We start from the raw sequence: 24,451 nt of genomic DNA, 5'->3' as shown, positions 1-24,451 counted from the left end.
TAATAAATCTGTATGATTTAAGCTACTGAGTTTGTGATCATTTGTTATTGGCAATACACTTAGCAAACACCACTGACTTTTCTTGCTTCATACACAGCTAGACCACATTTCCGGTGTATGAACTGCATCCCTTAGAAGGGCCCTGCGCTTGCTTAGTTTAAAGCTAAGTTGCCACATTGTCCTGAAATTCTTAATAATGCCTGAACAAGGAGTTCCATATTTTTGTTTTGCACTGGGCCCCCAAATTATGTCTGTTGTCCTGTTGAGACACTAGGATTGAGATCTACCCAGTGACATAGTTTGAGGGACGGGCCCTAATATAAAATAATAAAATATGATGAAAACAAAAATGTCCCTATTCTCCACTTTATCTCTCCTTCATTTGCCAACAGGAATTAGAGGATCCAGTAAGAATGCAGAGTTCCCAGGAAATGCTGGGCCCACTATATTGGGAAAACAAAAATTGATCCCCTAAATTGCAGTGTGGAGCAGCATCCCCTACTGTGGACTGTGATGGAAGCCAGAAATAAATTTTTATTATGTTAATCTTCTGATATTTTAGAATTGTTTATTACAGCAATTGGTCTCCTGATTAAAATCAGGAGTTCGGCCAGGTACAGTGGCTCACGCCTGCAATCCCAGCACTTTGGGAGGCCTAGGCGGGCAGATCACGAGGTCAGGAGTTCGAGACCATCCTGGCCAATACAGTGAAACTCCGTCTCTACTAAAAATACAAAAATTAGCTGGACGTGGTGGCAGGTGCCTGTAGTCCCGGCTACTCAGGAGGCTGAGGCAGGAGAATTGCTTGAACCCGGGAGGCAGAGGTTGCTGTGAGCCATGATCGTGCCATTGCACTCCAGCCTGGGTGACAGAGTGAGACTCCGTCTCAAAAAAAAAAAAAAAAAAAAGCTCTACCTAAATTATTACCTGAGCGAGAAATAATATTTCTAGATGTAACAATGGAAGTAATACCAAAAAAGTTATGCTTATTCAGTTTAGTTGATAAATAAAAATAATCCCGAAAAATGTTAGAAAAACCTTGATCTTTTTTCTACCCTACCCTTCTTCCTTCTCCATAGTGTAAGGTCTACAGGCAAGAGAAATAAAATGTATTAGCTAATTAGATTTTTCTATACTTCACGCCATGAGAAGGCTTTTTTTAACCATTGTAAAGTTTAATATTTATTAACACACACACAAAAGCCAAAATGTTATTAATATGTTTTAATAACACTTATTTTTAACGTATGTGTTGAGCTTGAAAACTTTTCAGTTACTATTTTCTGATGATTGATTTATATGTATATTGTGCAATGGAATTTCCTTCTTATTGAATTATATTTCCCTAGAAATAAAACCAAGATTTCTAGAACATGTTAAAATTTATATCTAACAAGTTTTAAGGATATTTTAGGGGTTTCTGCAATCAGCATTTATTTTCAGTATCCTTTACTTTTATAATGAGAAATGGCATTTAGATAACAATGTGAGTACTCAAAGTGATCATGGTTATTACTATGGAGTAAACTCACACATTCTACATATTTTCAAATAAAAATAATATAAAATATATGTTTACAATAAAATGTAACATGAGTTAATGTTAATGTTTAAAAAATTATATGGTTTTGGCCGGGCGTGGTGGCTCACGCTTGTAATCCCAGCACTTTGGGAGGCCGAGGCGGGTGGATCACGAGGTCAGGAGATCGAGACCAAGGTGAAACCCCATCCTACTAAAAATACAAAAAATTAGCCGGGCGTGGTGGCGGGCGCCTGCAGTCCCAGCTACTCGGAGATGCTGAGGCAGGAGAATGGCGTGAACCTGGGAGGCGGAGCTTGCAGTGAGCCGAGATCGCGCCACTGCACTCCAGCCTGGGTGACAGACCGAGACTCCGTCTCCAAAAAAAAAAATTATATGGTTTAGAGTATATTTGAATTGTTTGAATTACTATTTGTACTTGCTTTGCTTTACCCTGAAAGCCTTGTCATCAACTACTTTGCAGGCTTGTTTATTTATTTCAACACAGCAGTACCAAGTGTTTACCAGAATATGATTATGGACAAGGTTTTACAATATTTTATTTTTGCTTTACATATCCCAGGTTATTTGCTTGGAAGTATTTTTGAAGTGATTATATTTTCACAAGCTGTTGTAAGTAACAGTACAAAAAGTGCCTTGTCTATACACCTCAGTTTTCTTTTATGGTCATATTTTGAACCTTTAAAAATACAAATACATAATAATAATATTGGCTTTGATATATCCTATATATTTTTAATAATTCTCTTGTTTTACTTGTACTAATTTGTGTGTGTTTAACTCCTGAATTTTATGGATTTACAATTCCATTTTGATTGAAATTATTTAGTGGTTATGTAAAATATTTGCATGTGTAAAAATCCAAAGCTATGTCACAGGAAACTTCCATAGAAGCTTAACTTTCATTTATCTACCATATTATCAATCTCTCTCTATGTCTATCTACCTCTGCTTGGGGAGTAAGTAATCCTTTCCCTGGTTTAAGTACTACTTTGAGAGAATTAGACCTTTACAGTAATTTTATACCTATAAGATTTAATTTCCCGCTTGGCTTAACCCCCCAACCTCCCTCCCCGCCCCCCACCACCCACCAGAGGCCTTATCTTTTTTTAAATTTAATTTTATTTTTTTTTTGGTAACTGTGTAGAAAAACAAGAAAAAGCCACAAAGTCGATGTTTAGTCTGTTTCGTTATTCAAAGTCAAGCTTCCTTAAGGCAAAGTTTTCTGTTCCCTTCTCCCTTCACTGCTAATTAAATTAATAGTAGTTCTTCAAATGATTAAAAAACGATGTACTCACTATGATTTGAATGTGTCCCCTCATGATTACATGTTGAAAATTTAATCCCCAAGGCAACAGTGTTGAGAGAAGGGACTGTTAGTTCATGAGTACCCTGTCCTCATGAATAGACGAATGAATGTCAGTTATCACGGGAATGGGTTCATTACAAAAGCTAGTTGTGTCCCCCACTGGCTCTTTCATGCTTTCTTGCCCTTCTGCCTTCTGCCATAGGATGACATACAAAGAAGGACATCGCTAGACGCAGGCTCCTTGACGCTCGACTTCCCAGCTTTCACAACTGTAAGACATACACGGCTATTTTTTAATAAATTGCCACTCTGTTATAGCAGCACAAAACAAACTAAGACAGTACTTGAACATAAACCTCCACAGAAAGTGGTTAAATCAGGATGGGCCATGATTGCTTTTGCTCCTGTGTTTTAAGTGTTTTCTTTGGTTATGTATTTTCATTATTGCCTTTGTTCGACTTCTAATCAAGAGCACAGAATTACACAAAATGGCCTCACCGAAAAATAGGATGCCAGGCAGAAAAAGATACATATAGAGTTTAAGGTTTTTAGCTGTTCAAAGATTGAAGAGCTCAGAAGATATTTCGCTATTATTGGCATGGTTAAGATGACTTGGATGTTTTGGTTTTTGAACAAATGAAATACATGTGCAATATCTCAGTAGTTCCAAACAATGATTCTGCTTTTACTTTTCTGCTCCACTGAAATGAGTGATTTTACCGTCAGTGAAACCTATGACAAGGTTGGAAGGGAGATTGATTTTTGGATGAGCAGAGTGATATTAGAAAGCCGACTGACATTCACAAAACATAAAATTGCCCATCGTTGCACATTAAAATTACACTTAGGGCCATCCAGGAACAAACAAATATTAATTGATTGAGTATTGTGTGCCTACCATTGACTCAATCACAAATAATATGAAAAAACACTTCTCTATAGACAAAAAATTATACCTACTATAATATTATACTAAGCATATTTTAATAAAATATGTTTAATTCCTTACTAGACATGGTAAGTAAGGAATTAAACATATTTTGTTAAAAATTGAACTTAGTGATTTTTAATGATGAAAGGTTGGTAACTAAAATCACATGAAACATGAGTTTGAGTAAGGTGAAAGAAAACCATGCTTCAATTGCTTGTTAGGCAAGTATAATTATGGCTTTAGTTTTCAATTACATTCCTGGGAAAAGAGTAATATTTATTGATTTTTAAATTACAACCAGTAAAATTGACAACAGTTATATTTTTATGATGAGAATATTTTAATGGTGACATGTTTGAAAATTGCAGACTTAACACAAATACATATTTCCTCTTTCTCTTGACATATCATTAAAATAATAGTAAAGCAATAAATTTAATATCATATTTCAGAACAATAAAGAAAACTAATGGCAGTCATGAAAAAATAAAAAATATTGGCAAGTTTCTGGAAGATGAAAAGCAGTAGACAGTGTTGAGTGATGACAGGTGAAAGCCGCAGTCTTGCTGACAAGCAGTGGGTGGTGGAACTGATGAGGTAGCTAAACTGTCTGCGAGGCTGCACAGAAGACAGGGGCACAGCAGTGATTGCCCATGCCTACCCACGATTCCATCCCACAAATGGGACCATCTAGAAGTAGGTTTCTTTACTTTAAAACAACATAGTAGGATGACTTTGGCAGAAATAGTAGGAATTAATATCCCTATTCCCATTCTTGTAATTAAGAGTTCCCCTGAAAAATGATCATGTGCCTGGACCTTACTCAGAAGGTATGTCCTCCAGGTGAAAAGCTCACACAGGTTTACGCAGCTATAAGTCAACCTTCATCTTATTAGCAAATGCAAATCTTTAACCATGTGCCACCACGCAAGACTAACATGAACGGGAAAACCGAGATAAACAAAGAACAACAACTTCTAAGAAAACAGAGTAAAATAAATGATACTAACACAAAACCAATATTCTAATTATTATCTCCTGCGCAGGGCTAAGTCTTTTATCCATTTAAAAAGATGCAAAGAAGGCTAGGCGCGGTGGCTCACAACTGTAATCCCGGCATTTTTGGGGACCGAGGTGGGTGGATTGCTTAAGTTCAGAAATTCGAGGCCCCCAGCCTGGTGAACATGGTGAAACACAGTCTCTACTAAAAACACAAAAATGAGCCTGGCATGGTGGTGCATGCCTGTAATCCCAGCTACTCGGGAGGCTGAGGCAGGAGACTCGCTTGACCCTGGGAGGCAGAGGTTGCAGTGAGCTGAGAGTATCCCACTGCACTCCAGCTTGGGTGACAAAGCGAAGCTCTGTCTCAAAAAAAAAGCAAAGAAAACCAAATAATAACGAAGTATCCAGGATTTTCTGCACTAAAAACAAAATTCAAAATAATTAAAAGATAAGTTTGAAGAAATCTCCCTGAATATAAAACAAAAGTACAAAGAAGTAAATATATGAGAGAAAAGATAAAAGATGAATAAGGATCGGCTAACAATGAGAAAGTTCAGAGAAAGTTATGAATAATAATAAAACTACATGAAAATTTCTCTGAGTTAAAGGCCTTCACATTAAAAAAGCCTGAATCGTAAACACAGTGAATGGAAAATTATCAACACATAGACACATTGAGGTGAAATTACAAATCACCAAGAATAAAGAGGAAATCTTAAAATTCTCCACAAACACAAAAACTCAAACTCACCTACAATAGAATAAGAAACAGCTTAACATTATTCTTCCTACAAGATAATGGAGCCATATCTCCTTGGCATTAAGTGAACAATGACTTTCAACCCAGCATATATTTTACTGTAAGCTTTCTGGACTAATTGATTTTTGTTTTCTAGCTTCAATTAAATTGTTTTTATTGAGATAATTGTAGATCTGCATGCAGTTACAAGAAAGAATACAGTGAGTTCTCTTGAACACTTTTGACTCGTAAGGTTTTGTAAAATATAGAAAGATATCACAACCAGGGTATTGATGCTGCTACAATCCAACAATCTTATTAAGATTTCCTCGGTTATTTTACCCTTGTGTGTGTGTGTGTCTGTGTGTGTGTGTGCACATTAAGTCCTGTATAATTTTATTACCTATATACGTTCATGTACTTACAACTACAGTCAAAATAATGAAGAATTCCAGCACCACAAGGTTCTCTCATATGCCTTTTTGTAACTAACCCCACTGTTCTTTTTTATTCCACATCCATCTCTACCCCCTGACAACCACTAATCTCCCCTACGCTGTTAAATGTGTCAATTTTTATTTTGATAATTATTGGACTACTTACATTATCTGTTTTATCTTGACTGAGTTTTGGTAGTTTGTGGTATTTGAAGAATTGGTCCATTTATTTAATTTGTAGTAGTTATAAGTATCCATTTATCTGTAGTATTTTATTATATTTTTGATGATTATAGAATCTGTACTGATAATCTGTTTCATTTCTGATGTTGATTATTTGTATCATCTCATTTTAGTTATCAGTAATTCACAGAAATTAACAATTTTATTAACTTTTTAAAAAACCTGCTTATTTCATTGATTTTCTCTATGACTTTCTTATTTTTAATTTATTGATTTCTGCTTTATTTTTATTTTATTCTTCTGCTTGCTTTGGATTTATGTTGCTTTCTTCTTTTTTTTTTAAGTTTCTGAAGTAAACGCATAAGTTATTGTTGGACATGTTTTTGACTTTCTAATATGAGTGTTTACAGCCACAAATTTCCCTCTCACTACTGCTTTAGCTGCATCTCACAAATTTGATGTGTTTAGTGGGTTCTCAAAATTCAGTTCTATATATTTTTAAGATTTTCTTCGAGCTTTTTTCTTTGAGTCAGATTATTTAGAAGTATGTTTCTTAGTTTCTATGTGTTCAGAGATTTTCCTGTTGTGGTTCTCTTATTGACTTCTACTTTGATTCAGTATAGTCAGAGAATATACTCTGTATGATAAATTTATTTTATAACTGATAGTTCAAGCATATTTATGATAGCTGCTTTAAATTTTTCAAAAAAAAAACTTGAGATATATTTTATTGGCCAAAATATCATCTATCCTGATAAATGTTCTATGGATACTTAAAAAAAATGCATTCTGCTGCTGTTAGGAGGAGTGTTCTGTATATGTCAGTTAAGTCCTGTTGATTGATTGCCTTGTTCATATCTCCTATATATTTAATAGTTTTCTGCCTAGAAGTTGCATTCATTGCTGTGAAGAAGGAGGTGTTACATTTCCCAACTATAATTATGGATTTGTCTATTTCTACTTTCAGCTCTATCAGGTTTGGTTTTATGTGGATAAGTTTCTGTTTTTTTTGGTGTGTCCATATTCAGGATAATTTTATCTTCCTGGTGGGTTGATCCTTTTATTATTATATAATGTCCCTCTTTGTCTCTATCAATTTTCTTTGCTAAGGGATCTATTTTATCAGATTTTAATATAGCAACTCCTGCTATTTTCCATTAATGTTTGCATGGTATATCATTTTATATTTAAATAAAATATATATTTATATTTTTTACTCATCAATTGCCTGTGTTGTTGAATTTAAAGTGAGTCTGTCATAAACAACAGGATGTATCATAGGTTCCGAACACCACTCCTGGGTATGTTTTCTGAACAGGATTTGCAGGATTCAGCACATAGTCAAACTGATGGTTATAATTGATTATAGCAAGAGATTTAGCCAGCAAAGGACAAGGTACTTGCAGTTTAATCCAGAGGAAAAGAGGTGAAAGCTCTTGGATGAGTCCTCTCCTAGTCGAGTCACATAGAAGTGCTGAATTCCTCAAGCTAAGTGTGACAACATGTGTGAAATGTTTTTTGTTTTTGTTTGTTTGTTTTTACTAAAAATGCTTTTTAACAACCGTCAGTGTCCAGAGGGTTTTTTGTTTTTTGTTTTTTTTTGGAACCGATCACATAGGCATCTTCTGTTTAGGGTGTACCAAAATTCCAGACTCCCAGAAGAAAAGTTCAACATAAACCATATTATTTGTACCATTTAGTCACAGTGAAAACCTTATCAGATTTGGGTGGGAATTCTACCAAAATCCAAGTTCCCAGAGAACAGTCAAGGACCAGTCTTACAAGCTGGTCTTTCTAATGATTGCAACCTCAGGCTTACTGTGTTAATTCTTTGCTGCACACAGTATACTGTTCAGATTATTTTTTGTCCCCACTCATTCAGTCTCTGTCTTTTGATTGTTGTATTCGGAGCATCAATATTTAAGTTAATTATTAGTATGTTAAAGTTTAAGTCTGTCATTTTTTTGTTTTGTTTTTTATTCCTTCTGGTTCTCATTCCGCGGTTTCTCTTTTCTTGCCTTACTGTATATTAGTAAGAGCATTTTTAAAAACATTTCATCTTGATTTGTATTTTATTTTATTTTATTTTATTTTATTTTTATTTTGAGATGGAGTCTTGCTCTGTCGCCCAGGCTGGAGGGCAGTGGCGCGATCACGGCTCACTGCAAGCTCCGCTTCCCGGGTTCACGCTATTCTCCTGCCTCAGCCTCCCGAGTAGCTGGGACTACAGGCACCCGCCTCCACGCCCGGCTAATTTTTTGTATTTTTAGTAGAGACGGGGTTTCACCGTGTTAGCCAAGATGGTCTGGATCTCCTGAACTCGTGATCTGCCCGCCTCGGACTCCCAAAGTGCTGGGATTACAGGCGTGAGCCAACGCGCCTGGCCCATCTTGATTTATTTAAAGTAGTTTTGGGTATATCTCTGGTTATAATTTTTGTAGTGGTCAGGATGAGTATTAAAATAAACATGTGTGACATGCAGCCTACTGGCATGAACATTCCACCATTTGACGTGCAGTATGGAAATCTCATTTTCATTTAGATCCCGCTTCTATATATTTGTCTTGAGTATCAGATGGTGTTATAATTTTTGTTTTAATCATCAAATATAATTTATTAAACTCATGAGAAAAAAACAGTCTATTATATGTAACCCTAGTTCTTCTCTTTTTACTCTTCCTTCTTCATGATGTTCTATGATTCCTTCTTTTATCATTTCCTTTCTATTTGAAGATCCCTTTAGCCAGCCTTGAAGGGGAGTCTGCTAGTGACAAATTATTTTAGTTTTAGTTTGCTTGAAATGTTTTAATTTCCTTTTTATTCTTGAAAGGAATGTTATTAATTATTAATTATATTTATTAATTAATGTATACTTAATATTATTAATTAATATTATGAAATTAATTATTATAGCTCTCTTCTTTTATTGCTTGAAAAATATTGTGATACTCTCCCGTGGCCTCCACAGTTTCAGATAAGAAATCTACTATAATTCAAATTGCTGTTTTTCTGTAGATAATATACAATTTATCTTGGCTACTTTCAATACTTTTTCTTCTTTTTTTACTTTTCAAATATTTGATTATATTATGTCTTAGCATGGATTTTTTTGGGGTTTACCGGTTTACCTGTACAGGGTTGGCTCAGCGTCCTAGCTGTGGGTTTGCGTCTTTTGCCAAATTTAGGAAGTCTCAGCCATTATTTCTTCAAACACTCTTTTAGTCCCATTTTTTTTTCTCAATGATATAAATGTTGGGTCTTTGTTACATCTCACAGGTCCCTAAAGATCTGTTCAGTTTTTTATTTCTGCCCATTTTCTCTGTCTTGTAAAGATTACATCAATTCTATTTTTTCTGTCTTAATTTCACTGATTCTATTATCTGCCATCTCCATATTACAATTAAGCCCATTCAAGTAGTTTTTTTCCATCTTATTGTATTTTTCAATTTCATAATTTCAATTGGGTTCATTTTTATAACTTTTATTTCTTTGCTGAGATTTTCTATGTTTAAATTTGTTTCGTGATTGATAGTTCAAGCACATTTATGATAGCTGCTTTAAAATTCTTATCAGATAATTCCAACATATGATTCATTTTGATTTGGGCATCAGTTGGTTGTTTTCTCTTATTCAAGTTGTATTTTTTTTTATTCCTTGTATTATGAGTGATTTTTTTTTCTATTGTACCTGGACATTTAATCAATTATGTTAGAAGAATCTGTGTCATTTTTATTTGTTTTTAAAAAATCTTAGCAGGCAGTCACTATGTTTAGATAGAATGTGTGGGACTTGACCCACATTTGTGGGCTGTGGTTCCAATGTGGTTTAATTATGAGAGGCTTTGTGGTGTTCTATTAATCTTCCTGGTTTATCTAGTCCTCTAGTAGCTCTCACTATTCCCTGTGGTGCTGCCATGGGTGTGAAGGCATTTCCTTTTGTCTGGCTGTCAGGCATATCTCAGCCTGGGGAAAAGTATAGTGTGATTTTCCTACCAGTGCACCCACTCTTGTAGTGTTTCTGGGTCAGATAGGAAATTCTTGGGGCTTCAGGGACACAGACACTTGTCAGATTTAGGCCCTTGCTGTAACTGGGTGCCTTGTCAATTTGTTCAACAGCGTGTATCTTGGAAGGAAATGAGAATCTGGGTCCTTCTGAGACAAAAAGCTTCCCAGACAAGGTTACTTGTGATGACTGAGTCCCTTTTACAGGTTTTACCTGCACACTCTGGTGTCTCTAGGCAGGGTAGAAGAGTCTAGATCCATTGGGACTAGGAGCTTTCCTTCGCCAGGCCACCTGTTATATCTTGTCTCCTCTACTAGCTCTACTTACCTGCTTTTGTATCTTTCAGTGGATAAGGAGAGCTTCAGGCCTGGTTGTCAAGAAGAGTATCTCCCCTGGCTGCTCATTTCTGGCAGGGCTCCCAAATAATGCCCCTTTCTGGTGGTGTTGGTCTCCCCTAATATTGTCAGAGGCATTCCTATTTGGAAAGGAATGTCTATTTGCCTGTCTTCTGTTGCTATGTTAGGGCTCAGGAAATGCTGGGTCTGGGTGATCTTTCTCTGTTGGGTAGGGGGACACAAGATGCCCTGCCACCACTGTGCTGTCTCTTCAGTACTAGCTTCTTAAAGCTGTTGTATGTTTTCTTATTACCTTTCAGAGTTCGCCTTTGCTTATGTCTTGCACCATTTCCAGAGTGTATAGTTGTCCTTAGTGGGAAGATTTAGGGAAAAACAAGTCTGCATCATCTTTTGCAGACCAGAAATCTCCTAATTGACTTTTCAGAATATATTAATATTATTTATATAATATATTAATATTATTTAATAAATAATTTTATAAAAGAATGGTTGAACTTTGAAGTAAATAAGTAATTTATAAAAATATTTTAGCTTGGGCCTGTTTTAAAACCTAAATACTTTTTTTTAAGTCCACATATTTCTGTACCTTCTTCAGTGCTTTCTAAGATTAAGGTGTGGTCTGACCACTTATTTAAATAATAATATCAGGTATCATCTTAACAAGACCCATGCAGAGTAACAATGTTTTCTCCTTTGACAGAGATAAAAACCATGCCAGAGAGAGGTTCACTGAATGATGAAAAGCGTGAGGCTAGATAGTGCTGTCATGAAACTGAAACCCAGGTTTATATCTATCTAGCTATCCTAGTTCATTTTCTGTTGCTATAAGTAGCTCATGGCTCTAGAGGTTGGGAGGTTCAAAAGCATGGTACTGGCATCTGGTGCATCATGACATAGTGAGAGGCATCACATGGTAAGATAGAGCAAGTAAGCCTCAGAGAGCTTGCTTGTATAACAAAACCATTCCCATGGCAGTGACATTAATCCTTTCATGAGGGCAGAGACCTCATTAATCTATTAATCTGTTTATGAGGGCAGAAGGATTAAGTTTCCAGCAAGCACATGAATTTTTCAGAAACACATAAGGCATAGCACTTGCCTAATAAATGTTTTGTTCCTTACATTTCAATATCATAATTTTAGATGCAGCCTTCTAAAGACCTGTATAAGTATATTAAAAAAACATTTACCTGGAAATTATCAATATGCCTGAGATTTAAAAAGCTGTAACTATTTCAGTGGGAGTATGAGCTTATGAAACATGGTTTAATGTCAGACTTTCCTTGCCTCAAATCAAAGTTTCTCCATTTACTTTCAATAAACCTTGAATAAGCTACTTAATCTTTCTCAATCTCAATTTTCTTACCTATAAGTTGAAGTTAATATACACCCCATCATGCCTTTTTGTGGTTAGCCAGAGAAACATTGCAAAACGAACTTGAATTATTCCTGACACAATAAAGATACTCAAAAATGATATATAATTTATATTATTATTATTGATATAATGGTGATGATTATAATAATGATGAAAAGGAAGATAAAAAAGATTCTTCAAAATATTGAGGCATAGAAATAAAATATTCTAGCTTCACAAATCAACTAGAACAAATTACGTTCATGTGGATAGGAGATATGAGAAATTGAAATATATGATGAGAAAAGGTATAGGTTATAATAAATAAAGCAAAGCAAGAAGAAATAAACATAGTTTTATAGATTCAAATCAAAATTTTCTCATCAGCATTCACTTTCTGTATAAATGCAGGAAAGGGAAAAGATCATATCAGAAATTCAAGGGGAACAAAAAAGTATGAATTTAACACATTTAAAATATTCACAAAATTTTAACAACTAGTTATAAGCTAAGAATGAATCACTGGTTCAGCTTTATAGTTGTGGAAACTTCATGCATATCTTATTAAGTAAAGTTCTCCAAGAAAGGAAGGAACCATTATCTTGGAATAGCTGAAATATTTAAACACTATTCCCATTAAATAATAAGATAAAATTTAAGTGCTGATGGCACATGCAGATGGGGAAAATAACATTCTAGCTCTGCGGCTGCTGCAACAGAGCATATGCAAATGTCCAGCACATGACACATACAAGAAATTAAATGGAATATTAGAAATAATTTGATCTAATAGTTATTTTACTGATGAATAAACTGAGATTAAAAGTGTACATGATGAAAAATGTGGCATTTCCCAGTGATGCAAATTGCTGAGGAAAACGAAGAATAAAACAAAGCAAAGTACTCTATTTTTGGAATCAGATCTACTTATAATAGGAATTACAGAAGACCATTTGTGGAAGTAGTGACATAGATGTACCAATTCTGGTTATACATATATCCTGAAAGTAGATTATAAATAAATTCTATTATAAAAGATAGATTTTCCACCGGGTAGTTCAACACAAAACAAACAAAAACACTTTGAAATGCAAATAATTATTTCATAATGTAATACATTTTAAATGCTCTCTTTTAAAATTTTAATATTTGTAACTGTTCATGAAACAAACATGTACTGACACAGGTTATCAATACATATTGGACATGAAACATATACAAATGTGTATGGTCCTTCTTAACAAGTAGCTTAACAACTAGTGAAAGAAACAGGTACACCATTAGCTGTAACATATAATCCTTATGCCATTTACATAAGAAAGACAGAAACAAATGCTAAGATGATGCTGCAGGCATAGTGATTAGAAAAGACTTTCCAGAGGAATAGATACCCAAGTATGGCATAAAGAATAAGTACAAATTTGGTGGTGGAGATGGAAGGAGAGAAAGTTGTTCAAACATAAGCAAAAGCACAGAGGTATAGAAGTTAATTGTGTAAATAACCTAATAATTGGGCTGGGGTTGTGGGGACTCAAGGTTCATGGGACCAGAAGATCATTGATATCAGAAATAATACTAAAATCTTAGGTTACGACCAGTAGTTGAAGATGATTGATGCGATCTTTGAGAGTTAAGATTTATTCTAAGTATAAGGAGAAGCCACCAATGGTTTATGAGCAAGAAATGGCAATCACAATTTTGGTTTTGGAGGGCAGCTGACAGCTACATAATGAATTGGTTGAATGGGTAGATTTGAAGACAAGAGTTCATTTGGAAGTCTACAGAAAAACTCAGAAAGCATAAAAAAAAGTCAAGTATCCAAATTCAAATAGTTACTGTGAAAATAAAAGAGAATGGGTGGTGAACGACAGTAAAACGATACACTGAATGAAAGAGAATATTTGCAAATTATACATCTGTTAAGAGACTTGTATCAGAAATATGAAAAGAACACTTCAAATGCAATAATAAAAAGACAAACAACCCAATTAAAATAAGAAAAATTATCTGAATATTTATCTAAAGAAGATATGCAAATAACTAATGAACACATGAAAAACTATGCCATATCAATTAGCCATTACAGAAACAGAAATAGAAGCAAAATATGGGATCTAATTAAACTAAAGAGCTTCTGCACAGCAAAAGAAACTACCATCAGAGTGAACAGGCAACCTACAAAATGGGAGAAAATTTTCGCAACCTACTCATCTGACAAAGGGCTAATATCCAGAATCTACAATGAACTCAAACAAATTTACAAGAAAAAAACAAACAACCCCATCAAAAAGTGGGCAAAGGACATGAACAGACACTTCTCTAAGGAAGACATTTATGTAGCCAAAAAAACACATGAAAAAATGCTCACCATCACTGGCCATCAGAGAAATGCAAATCAAAACCACAATGAGATACCATCTCACACCAGTTAGAATGGCAATTATTAAAAAGTCAGGAAACAACAGGTGCTGGAGAGGATGTGGAGAAATAAGAACACTTTTACACCGTTGGTGGGACTGTAAACTAGTTCAACCATTGTGGAAGTCAGTGTGGCGATTCCTCAGGGATCTAGAACTAGAAATACCATTTGACCCAGCCATCCCATTACTGGGTATATACCCAAAGAACTATAAAATCATGCTGCTATAAAGACACATGCACAGGTATGTTTATTGTGGCACTATTCACAATAGCAAAGACTTGGAACCAATCCAAATGTCCAACAATGATAGACTGGATTAAGAAAATGTGGCACATATACACCATGGAATACTATGCAGCCATAAAAAATGATGAGTTCATGTCCTTTGTAGGGACATGGATGAAATTGGAAATCATCATTCTCAGTAAACTATCGCAAGGACAAAAAACCAAACACCGCATGTTCTCACTCATAGGTGGGAATTGAACAATGAGAACACATGGACACAGGAAGGGGAACATCACACTCTGGGGACTGTTGTGGGGTGGGGGAGGGGGGAGGGATAGCATTAGGAGATATACCTAATGCTAAATGACGAGTTAATGGGTGGAGCACACCAGCGTGGCACATGTATACATATGTAACTAACCTGCACATTGTGCACATGTACCCTAAAACTTAAAGTATAATAATAATTAAAAAAAAAGAAATAGAAGCAATACTGAAATGATACTTTACACCCACAAGGATGGTTAAAATCACAAAGAGATAATAAGTTTTGCTGAAGATGTGAAGAAACTGGTATCCTCACACATTGCTGGCAGGCATTTAAAATGATACAGCCACTTTGGAAAAAAGTTGGCAGTTCTTCAAAACATTAAACATGGCATTACTGTATGACCCAGTAATTTCAGTCTTAGGTATATATCCAAGAGACATAAAAGCAGATGTCCACACTAACACTTGTACATGAATGTTTATAAAAGCATCATTCATAATAGTCAAAAAGTATAATAAACAACCCAAATATCTATCAACTGATGAGTGGGTAAACAAGAAGTGGTCTACATAGCCATAGAATGGAATATCATTTAGCTAAAAATGAAGGAAGTGTTGATATGTGCTACAACATGGATAAACATTGAAAAAATAATGTTACATGGAAGAAATAAGAAAAGACTAATATTATATGATTAGAAGCAAGTCAGAAAAGACTATATATTATATGATTCCACTTACATAAACTGTCCAGTAGAGGCAAATCCGTAGAGACAAAAAGTAGATTAATTTGCCTGAGAAAAGGGATGGCTCAGGTGGGAGTGGGGAGTGAGTAACAATCAATACTCATTTCAGGGAGATGATGAAATGTTCTAAAATTTATTAGGATGATGGTGGCACCACTCTGTAAACATACTTAAAATCTTTGTATTTTATACCTTAAGTGCATGAATTGTATGACACTTGAATTATTAATATATCTTGATAAAAATTTTGAAAGTGTGTGGATTTGCGTGATATTTCAGAGTTAAAATTGGCAGAATTTAATAACTTACAAGCTTAGAGTGTTAATGAATAAGGTTGTTAATAAAATTTCATCTTCTGATTGATCTTTTATGTAACTGTGGACATGGCATTGCTACTATATATAATTTTTAAAAATCAGAAGAACATGTTTGAGGAGATAAAATAAATTTCATTTCATACATGTTGAGTAGAAGCTTTGGTTTCTTTAATCTTTCATTGTCATTCATGACACTAATAATTTTGAAGAGGTCCTGGACAAACTGGATATTCACATGCAGAAGAATTAAACTAGACACTTATCTCTCATCATACACAAAAATCGACTCAAAGTAGATTAAATACTTAAATATAAGACTTAAAACTATAAAATTATTAGAAGAAAATATAGGAGAAAGACTTTATAATGTTGGTCTAGGCAAGGATTTTTTGGATGAAAAAAGCATAGGCAACTAAAGATAAATAGACAAATGGGATTACATCAAAATAAAAAGCTACTGAACAACAAAAGAAACAATCAACAGGGTAAAGTGACAACCTATAGAATGAGAGAAAGTATTTTCAACTTAAAACTATGCATCTGACAAGTGGCTAATAATCAGAATATATGACTCAAATAGACATTTTTCAAAAAAAGACATACAAATAGGCAACAGGCATATATAAAAATGCTCACCATCATCAATTATCAGGGAAATGCAAATCAAAACCCCAAAGAGATATGAGTTCATCCTATTTAGAATGGCTATTACCAAAATACAGAAAAATAAATGCTGGCCTGTATCTGGAGAAGTGGGACCCCCCTATCCACCACTGGTGAGAATGTAAATTAGTACAACCATTAGGGAGAGCAGTATGGGAGGTCCTCAAAAAACTAAAAGTAGAACTACCTGAAGTTATTTATTTTCATTTTAATCCCATTGGTTCATTGTTTGATTTACATTTTTTAAAATGCGTTGATATTATCAACGTCCTCAAATTCTGCTTATCATGGTGAATGTTGCACGTGCACTTGAACAATGTATATTCTCCTCTTGTTTGAAGTGTTCTACAAGTTTCAATTAGGTCATATTGATTACAGTATTATTAAAGTTGCCTATATTTTTACTAATTTTCCATCTTTTTTAATCAATTAATGAGTGAGGTGTTTATTTGGCTAACTATAATTTTTGACTTGTCTGTTTTTAAATCTTGTCCTGTCAGTTTTTGCTTCTCATATTTTAAAACTCTGTTTTTTAAGTAGATACAAATTTAGAAGCATTATGTGTTCTTTAATGAATTAAGCCCTATATCATCATGCAATTTCTTTCTTTATACCTGATAATAGGTTTTGTTTTAAACCTACCTTGTTATTAATATAACCATGCCACTTTAAAATTGTTAATGTTTACATGGAACATATTTTGCCATTCTCTTTTTTTTTTTAATCCAATCGGTGACTTGATGTTTAAATTGGGTTTCATATGATATATATATTTGGGTGGGTCTTGATTGACTTATTAGATATATCACTTTAAATGTTTTTAAATGATAGTTCTTGAGCAGAGTTTGTCATCCTCAGCACCAGTGACATATTTTGGTTAGACAATTTGGATTTTGTTGTAAGAAACCTGTTCTCTGTATTGTAAGATGTTTAACAGCGTTCATTGACTCTAAACCTGCTGTTTCATTTAACTCTTTGGATTTCTGTTTTTTGCTTGTGTGTTTGTTTCTGATGAATTTTGGAAAATTGTTGGCCTTTATTCCTCTATACGTTTTTCTTCATTCTTTCTCTTTTCTCTTTCTTGGACCCCAGTTACGTATATGTTATTTTGTTTGCTGTGCTTCCATGGATGTTTTGTTATCTAATACAGTTCTCAATCCGTTTTCTTTGTAGTAAATTATCAGTGTAGATAATTTCTATGGACCTATTTCTAAGTTTCCTGATTTTCCTTAAGTGTTTCCCATCAGCTGATAATTCTATTGATGGGATATGTTATCTCTGATATGGTGGGGTTTTTTTCTTAGAATTTTTATTTGACAATTTCTTATAATTTCCATGTCTCTACTAGATTTTCCATTTATTCATGAATATTTTCCAGATTTTTTTAACCATAGCTTTTAAAATATTATTTATAGTTATTTAAAAAACCCTATCTGATTTATCTTATATGTCCTCATTTGTAAGACTTTGTATTGTTTGATTTATCTGGCAGTAAACTCTATTTTCAGTATGTTTCAAAATGTTTGAGTATTAATTATTATGAGGGAATAGTAGAGGCTGAAAGAACTATTCTTTATACCAGAAATGGACATGATTCTTTTTCTGGCAGTCACTAATGTAGTGGGTTGAGTCAATTAGTAGGTTTCTAGGATTGATTTTTGTTGTTGTTGGTATAGTCACCATCAGTGTAGCAGAGACGTCGATTTTCTTCAATGCTGAAAAATTATTCTTAATATTCATGCTCTACCATAAGCTTTCAGCAATCTCTGAATGCTTGAAACACATAGGGGTCTCTCTTCATGTTCTTGATCCTCTACCATTAGCAGACTGTAGTTGCTTATGCGTGTTACTTGATGGAAGGCTTATGTCAATGTTGTGGGGGCTGGGACTGAAGAAGGGTTCTCTATTCTCTTGGCTCAGTCTCAGTCACAGATGGACCTGTGTTCCTGGGCCTTGGGGGTGGGGATTTTTCTGTCTGCATCCCTGACCTTTTTCCTCATAGGCAGCTAAACTCTTTCTTCTGTCTGTTTTGAGTATTGAGCAGGAGGCAGCTTCCTGACCCATCCCCCACAGTAATAAACCTGTAAGATTTCCTGGTTTCCTGGAGCTGTGAAGCAGGTGCCTTAGATGTTGTCAGGCCTCTGAGCTAAGCCATCATATCTCCTGTGACCTGCACGTATACATCCAGATGGCCTGAAGTAACTGAAAAATGACAAAAGAAGTGAAAATGGCCCGTTCCTACCTTAACAGATGACATTACCTTGTGAAATTCTCCTGGCTCATCCTGGCTCAAAAGCTCCCCCACTGAGCACCTGGTGACCTCCACCCCTGCCAGCCAGAGAACAACCCCCTTTGACTGTAATTTTCCACTACCTACCCAAATGTTATAAAATGGCCCCACCCCATCTCCCTTTGCTGACTCTCTTTTCGGACTCAGCCCGCCTGCACCCAGGTGATTAAAAAGCTTTATTGCTCACCAGGTTTGGTGGTCTTTTCACATGGACAGGAGTGAAATTTGGTGCTGTGACTTGGATCGGGGGACCTTCCTTGGGAGATCAATCCCCTGTCCTCCTGCTCTTTGCTCTGTGAGAAAGATCCACCTACGACCTCTGGTCCTCAGACTAACCAGCCCAAGGAACATCTCACCAATTTTAAATCCAGTAAGCAGCCTCTCCTTACTCTCTTCTCCAGCCTCTCTCACTATCCCTCAACCTCTTTCTCCTTTCAATCTTGGTGCCACACTTCAATCTCTCCCTTCTCTTAATTTCAGTTCCTTTCCTTTTCTGGTAGAGACAAAGGAAATGTGTTTTATCCATGGACCCAAAACTCCGGCGCCGGTCACGGACTCCAGAAGACAGTCTTCTGTTGGTGTTTAATCACGTGGGGATGCCTGCCTGATTATTCACCCACGTTTCAGAGGTGTCTGACCACGCAGGGACGCCTGCCTTGGTCCTTCACTCTTAGCGGCAAGCACCACTTTTCTGGGGGGCAAGCACCCTCTGACCCCTTCTCTCTGTGTCTCTACCCCTTCGCCACTTTCCAGGGGGGCAAGTACCCCCCACCCCTTCTCTCCATGTCTCTACTCTTCTCTTTAAACTTGCCTCCTTCACTGTGGGCAACCTTCCACCCTCCATTCCTCCTTCTTCTCCCTTAGCTTGTGTTCTCAAGAACTTAAAACCTCTTCAACTCTTGCCTGACCTAAAATCTAAGCATCTTATTTTCTTCTGCAACACTGCTTGACCCCAGTACAAACTCAACAGTGGTTCCAAATAGCCAGAAAATGGAACTTTCGATTTTTCTATCCTACAAGATCTAGATAATTCTTGTCATAAAATGGGCAAACAATCTGAGATGCCTGACATCCAGGCATTTTTTACACATTTTTCCCTCCCTAGTCTCTGTTCCCAATGAGACTTGTCCCAAATCCTCCTTCTTTCCCTCCTGCCTGTCCCCTCAGTCCCAACCCCAAGTGTCACTGAGTCTTTCTAATCTTCCTTTTCTACAGACCCATCTGACCTCTCCCCTCCTCCCCAGGCTGCTCCTTGCCAGGCCGAGCTAGGTCCCAATTCTTCCTCAGCCTCCACTCCTCCACCCTGTAATCCTTTTGTCACCTCCCCTCCTCACACCCGGTCCAGCTTACAGTTTCATTCTGCAAATAGCCCTCCCCCACCTGCCCAGCAATTTCCTCTTAAAAAGGTAGCTGTAGCTAAAGGCATAGTCAAGGTTAATGCTCCTTTTTGTTTATCTGACCTTTCCCAAATCAGTTAGCATCTAGGCTCTTTTTCACAAAATATGAAAACCTAGCCCAGTTCATGGCTTGTTTGTTAGCAACCCTGAGATGCTTTACAGCCCCAGACCCTTAAAGGTCAAAAGGCCATCTTATTCTCAATATACATTTTATTACCCAATCTGCTCCTGACATTAAATAAAACTCCAAAAATTAAATTCCGGCCCTCAAACCCCACAACAGGACTTAATTAACCTTGCCTTCAAGGTGTATAATAATAGAGTAGAGGCAGCCAAGTAGCAATGTGTTTCTGAGTTGCAATTCCTTGCCTCCACTGTGAGACAAATCCCAGCCACATCTCCAGCACGCAAGAACTTCCAAACGCCTGAACTGCTGCAACCAGACGTTCTTCCAGGGCCTCCTCCCCCAGGAACTTGCTTCAAGTGCTGAAAATACTGGGCCAAGGAATGCTCACAGCCTGGGATTCCTCCTAAGCCATGTCCCATCTGTATGGGTCCCCACTGGAAATCAGACTGTCCAACCTGGCAGCCACTCCCAGAACCCCTGGAACTCTGCCCCAAGGCTGTCTGACTGACTCCTTCCCAGATCTACTCGGCTTAGCGGCTAAAGACTGATGCTGCCCAATCACCTCGGAAGTCTACAGGACCATCACAGACGCTTTGGGTAACTCTTACATTGGAGGGTAAGTCCATCCCCTTCTTAATCAATAGGGAGGCTACTCACATCACATTACCTTCTTTTCAAGGGCCTGTTTCCTTTGCCTCCATAACTGTTGTGGGTATTGATGGCCAGGCTTCTAAACCTCTTAAAACTCCGCAACTCTGGTGCCAACTTAAACAATACTCTTTTAAGCACTCCTTTTTAGTTGTTGCCACCTGCCCAGCTCCCTTATTAAGTTGAGACATTTTAACTAAATTGTCTGCTTCCCTGACTATTCCTGGGCTACAGCCACACCTCATGGCTGCCTTTTCCTCCAATTCAAAGCCTCCTTTGCATCCTCCCCTTGTATCTCCCAACCTTAAACCACAAGTATAGGATGCCTCTACTCCCCCCTTGGCGACAAATCATGCACCCCTTACCATCCCATTAAAACCTAATCACCCTTGCCTGCTCAATGCCAATATCCCATCCCACAGCACGCTTTAAAAGGATTAAAGCCTGTTATCACTTGCCTGTTACAGCATGGCCTTTTAAAGCCTATAAACTCTCCTTATGACTCCCCCATTTTACCTGTCCAAAAACCAGACAAGCCTTACAGGTTAGTTCAGGATCTGCACCTTATAATCCAAATTGTTTTTGCCTATCCACCCCATGGTGCCAAAGCCATATACTCTCCTATCCTCAATACCTCCCTCCACAACCCATTATTCTGTTCTGGATCTCAAATATGCTTTCTTTACTATTCCTTTGCACCCTTCATCCCAGCCTCTCTTCAATTTCACTTGGACTGACCCTGACACCCATCAGGCTCAGCAAATTACCTGGGCAGTACTGCAACAAGGCTTCACAGACAGCCCCCATTACTTCAGTTAAGCCCAAATTTCTTCCTCATCTGTTACTTATCTCAGCATAATTCTCATAAAAACACACATGCTCTCCCTGCTGATCGTGTCCGACTAATCTCCCAAACCCCAATCTCTTCTATAAAACAACAACTCCTTTCCTTCCTAGGCATGGTTAGTGCGGTCAGAATTCTTACACAAGAGCCGGGACCACACCCTGTAGCTTTTCTGTCCAAACAACTTGACCTTACTCTTTTAGCCTAGCCCTCATGTCTACATGCAGTGGCTGCCGATGCTTTAATACTTTTAGAGGCCCTAAAAATCACAAACTATGCTCAACTCACTCTCTACATTTCTCATAACTTCCAAAATCTATTTTCTTTCTCCCACCTGATGCATATACTTTCTGCTCCCCAGCTCCTTCAGCTATACTCACTCTTTGTTGAGTCTCCCGCAATTACCATTGTTCCTGGCCTGGACTTCAATCTGGCCTTCCACGTTATTCCTGATACCACACCTGGTCCCCATGACTGTATCTCTCTAATCCACCTGACACTCACTCCATTTCCCTATATTCTTTCCTGTTACTCACCATGAACACACTTGGTTTATTGATGGCAGTTCCACCAGGCCTAATTGCCACTCACCAGCAAAGGCAGGCTGTGCTATAGTATCTTCCACATGTATCATTGAGGCTACCACTCTGCCCCATCCACTACCTCTCAGCAAGCTGAACTCATTGCCTTAACTCGGGCCCTCACTCTTGCAATGGGACTACATGTCAATATTTATACTGACTCTAAATATGCCTTCCATATCCTGCACCACCATGCTGTTATATGGGCTGAAAGAGGTTTCCTCACTACGCAAGCTTCGTCCATTATTAATGTCTCATTAATAAAAATGCTTCTCAAAGCCACTTTACGTCCAAAGGAAGCTGAAGTCATTCACTGCAAAAGCCATCAAAAGGCATCAGATCCCATCGCTCAGGACAACGCTTATGCTGATAAGGTAGCTAAAACTTCCGCCTATCAATCTCTTCCCACACAAGGCAAATGGTTCTTGGACCAGTGAAAATACCTCCTTCCAGCCTCACAGGCCAATTCTATTCTGTTGTCATTTCAGAACCTCTTCCGTGTAGGTTACAAGCCACTAGCCTGCCTCTTAGAACCTCTCATTTCCTTTCCATTGTGGAAATCTATCCACAAGGAAATCACTTCTCAGTGTTCCATCTGCTCTTCTACTACTCCTCAGGGATTGTTCAGGCCCCCTCCCTTCTCTTTACATCCCCTCCCTTCTCTGCACATCAAGCTCAGGGATTTGCCCCGACCCAGGACTGGCAAATTGACTTTACTCATATGCCTCGAGTCAGGAAACTAAAATACCTCTTGATCTGGGTAGACCCTTTCACTGGATGAATAGAGGCCTTTCCCACAGGGTCTGGGAAGGCCACCATGGTCATTTCTTCCCTTCTGTCAGACACAATTCCTCAGTTTGGCCTTCCCGCCTCTATATAGTCTGATAACGGACTGGTCTTTACTAGTCAAATCACCCAAGCAGTTTCTCAGGCTCTTGGTATTCAGTAGAACCTTCCTATCCCTTACGGTCCTCAATCTTCAGGAAAGGTAAAACGGACTAATGGTCTTTTAAAAACACACGTCACCAAGCTCAGCCTCCAACTTAAAAAAAGGACTCTGTCAAGAATAGAGCTAAAAAAACTCACCAAGCAAGCAAGTAATTACACTGAACCCCCTTGGACACTCTCTAATTGGATGTCCTGGATCCTCCCAATTCTTAGTCCTTTAATACCTGTTTTTCTCCTTCTCTTATTCTGACCTTGTGTATTCCATTTAGTTTTTCAATTCATACAAAACCGTATCCAGGCCATCATCAGTAATTCTATACGATAAATGTTTCTTCTAACAACCCCGCAATATCACCCCTTACTACAGAATCTTCCTTCAGCTTAATCTCTCCCACTCTAAGTTCCCATGCCACCCCAATCCCGCTCGAAGCAGCCCTAAGAAACATTGCTCATTATCTCTCCATACCACTCCCCAAAATTTTTGCCACCCCAACTGTTTACCACTATTTTGTTTTATTTTTTCTTATTAATATAAGAAGACAGGAATGTCAGGCCTCTGAGCCCAAGCTAAGCCATCATATCCCCTGTGACCTGCACGTATACATCCAGATGGCCTGAAGTAACTGAAGAATGACAAAAGAAGTGAAAATGGCCTGTTCCTGCCGTAACTGATGACATTACCTTGTGAAATTCCTTCTCCTGGCTTATCCTGGCTCAAAAGCTCCCCTACTGAGCACCTTGTGACTCCTACCCCTGCCAGTCAGAGAACAACCCCCTTTGACTGTAATCTCCCACTACCTACCCAAATCTTATAAAACGGCTCCACCCCATCTCCCTTTGCTGACTCTGTTTTCAGACTCAGCCCACCTGCACCCAGGTGATTAAAAAGCTTTATTGCCCACACAAAGCCTGTTTGGTGTTGTCTTCACATGGATAGGAGTGAAAGAAATAACCTGTGTTATGCAATTTAGCACAATTCCCTCCATTTATCCAATGTATACTTAGGCCCTCAACACTGGCCTTCTCTCTCTTACTTTACCCATCTCATCTAGTCTGGGCATTTGAGTATGCAATTCCAGCTGTAAGTAAATCCATGCCACTGTGGAATTTTATT

This window comes from Homo sapiens, chromosome 2 (genome assembly GCF_000001405.40).
Source record: "Homo sapiens chromosome 2, GRCh38.p14 Primary Assembly".
In the NCBI taxonomy this organism is placed as follows: domain Eukaryota; kingdom Metazoa; phylum Chordata; class Mammalia; order Primates; family Hominidae; genus Homo; species Homo sapiens.
This window is presented reverse-complemented; position numbering follows the sequence as displayed.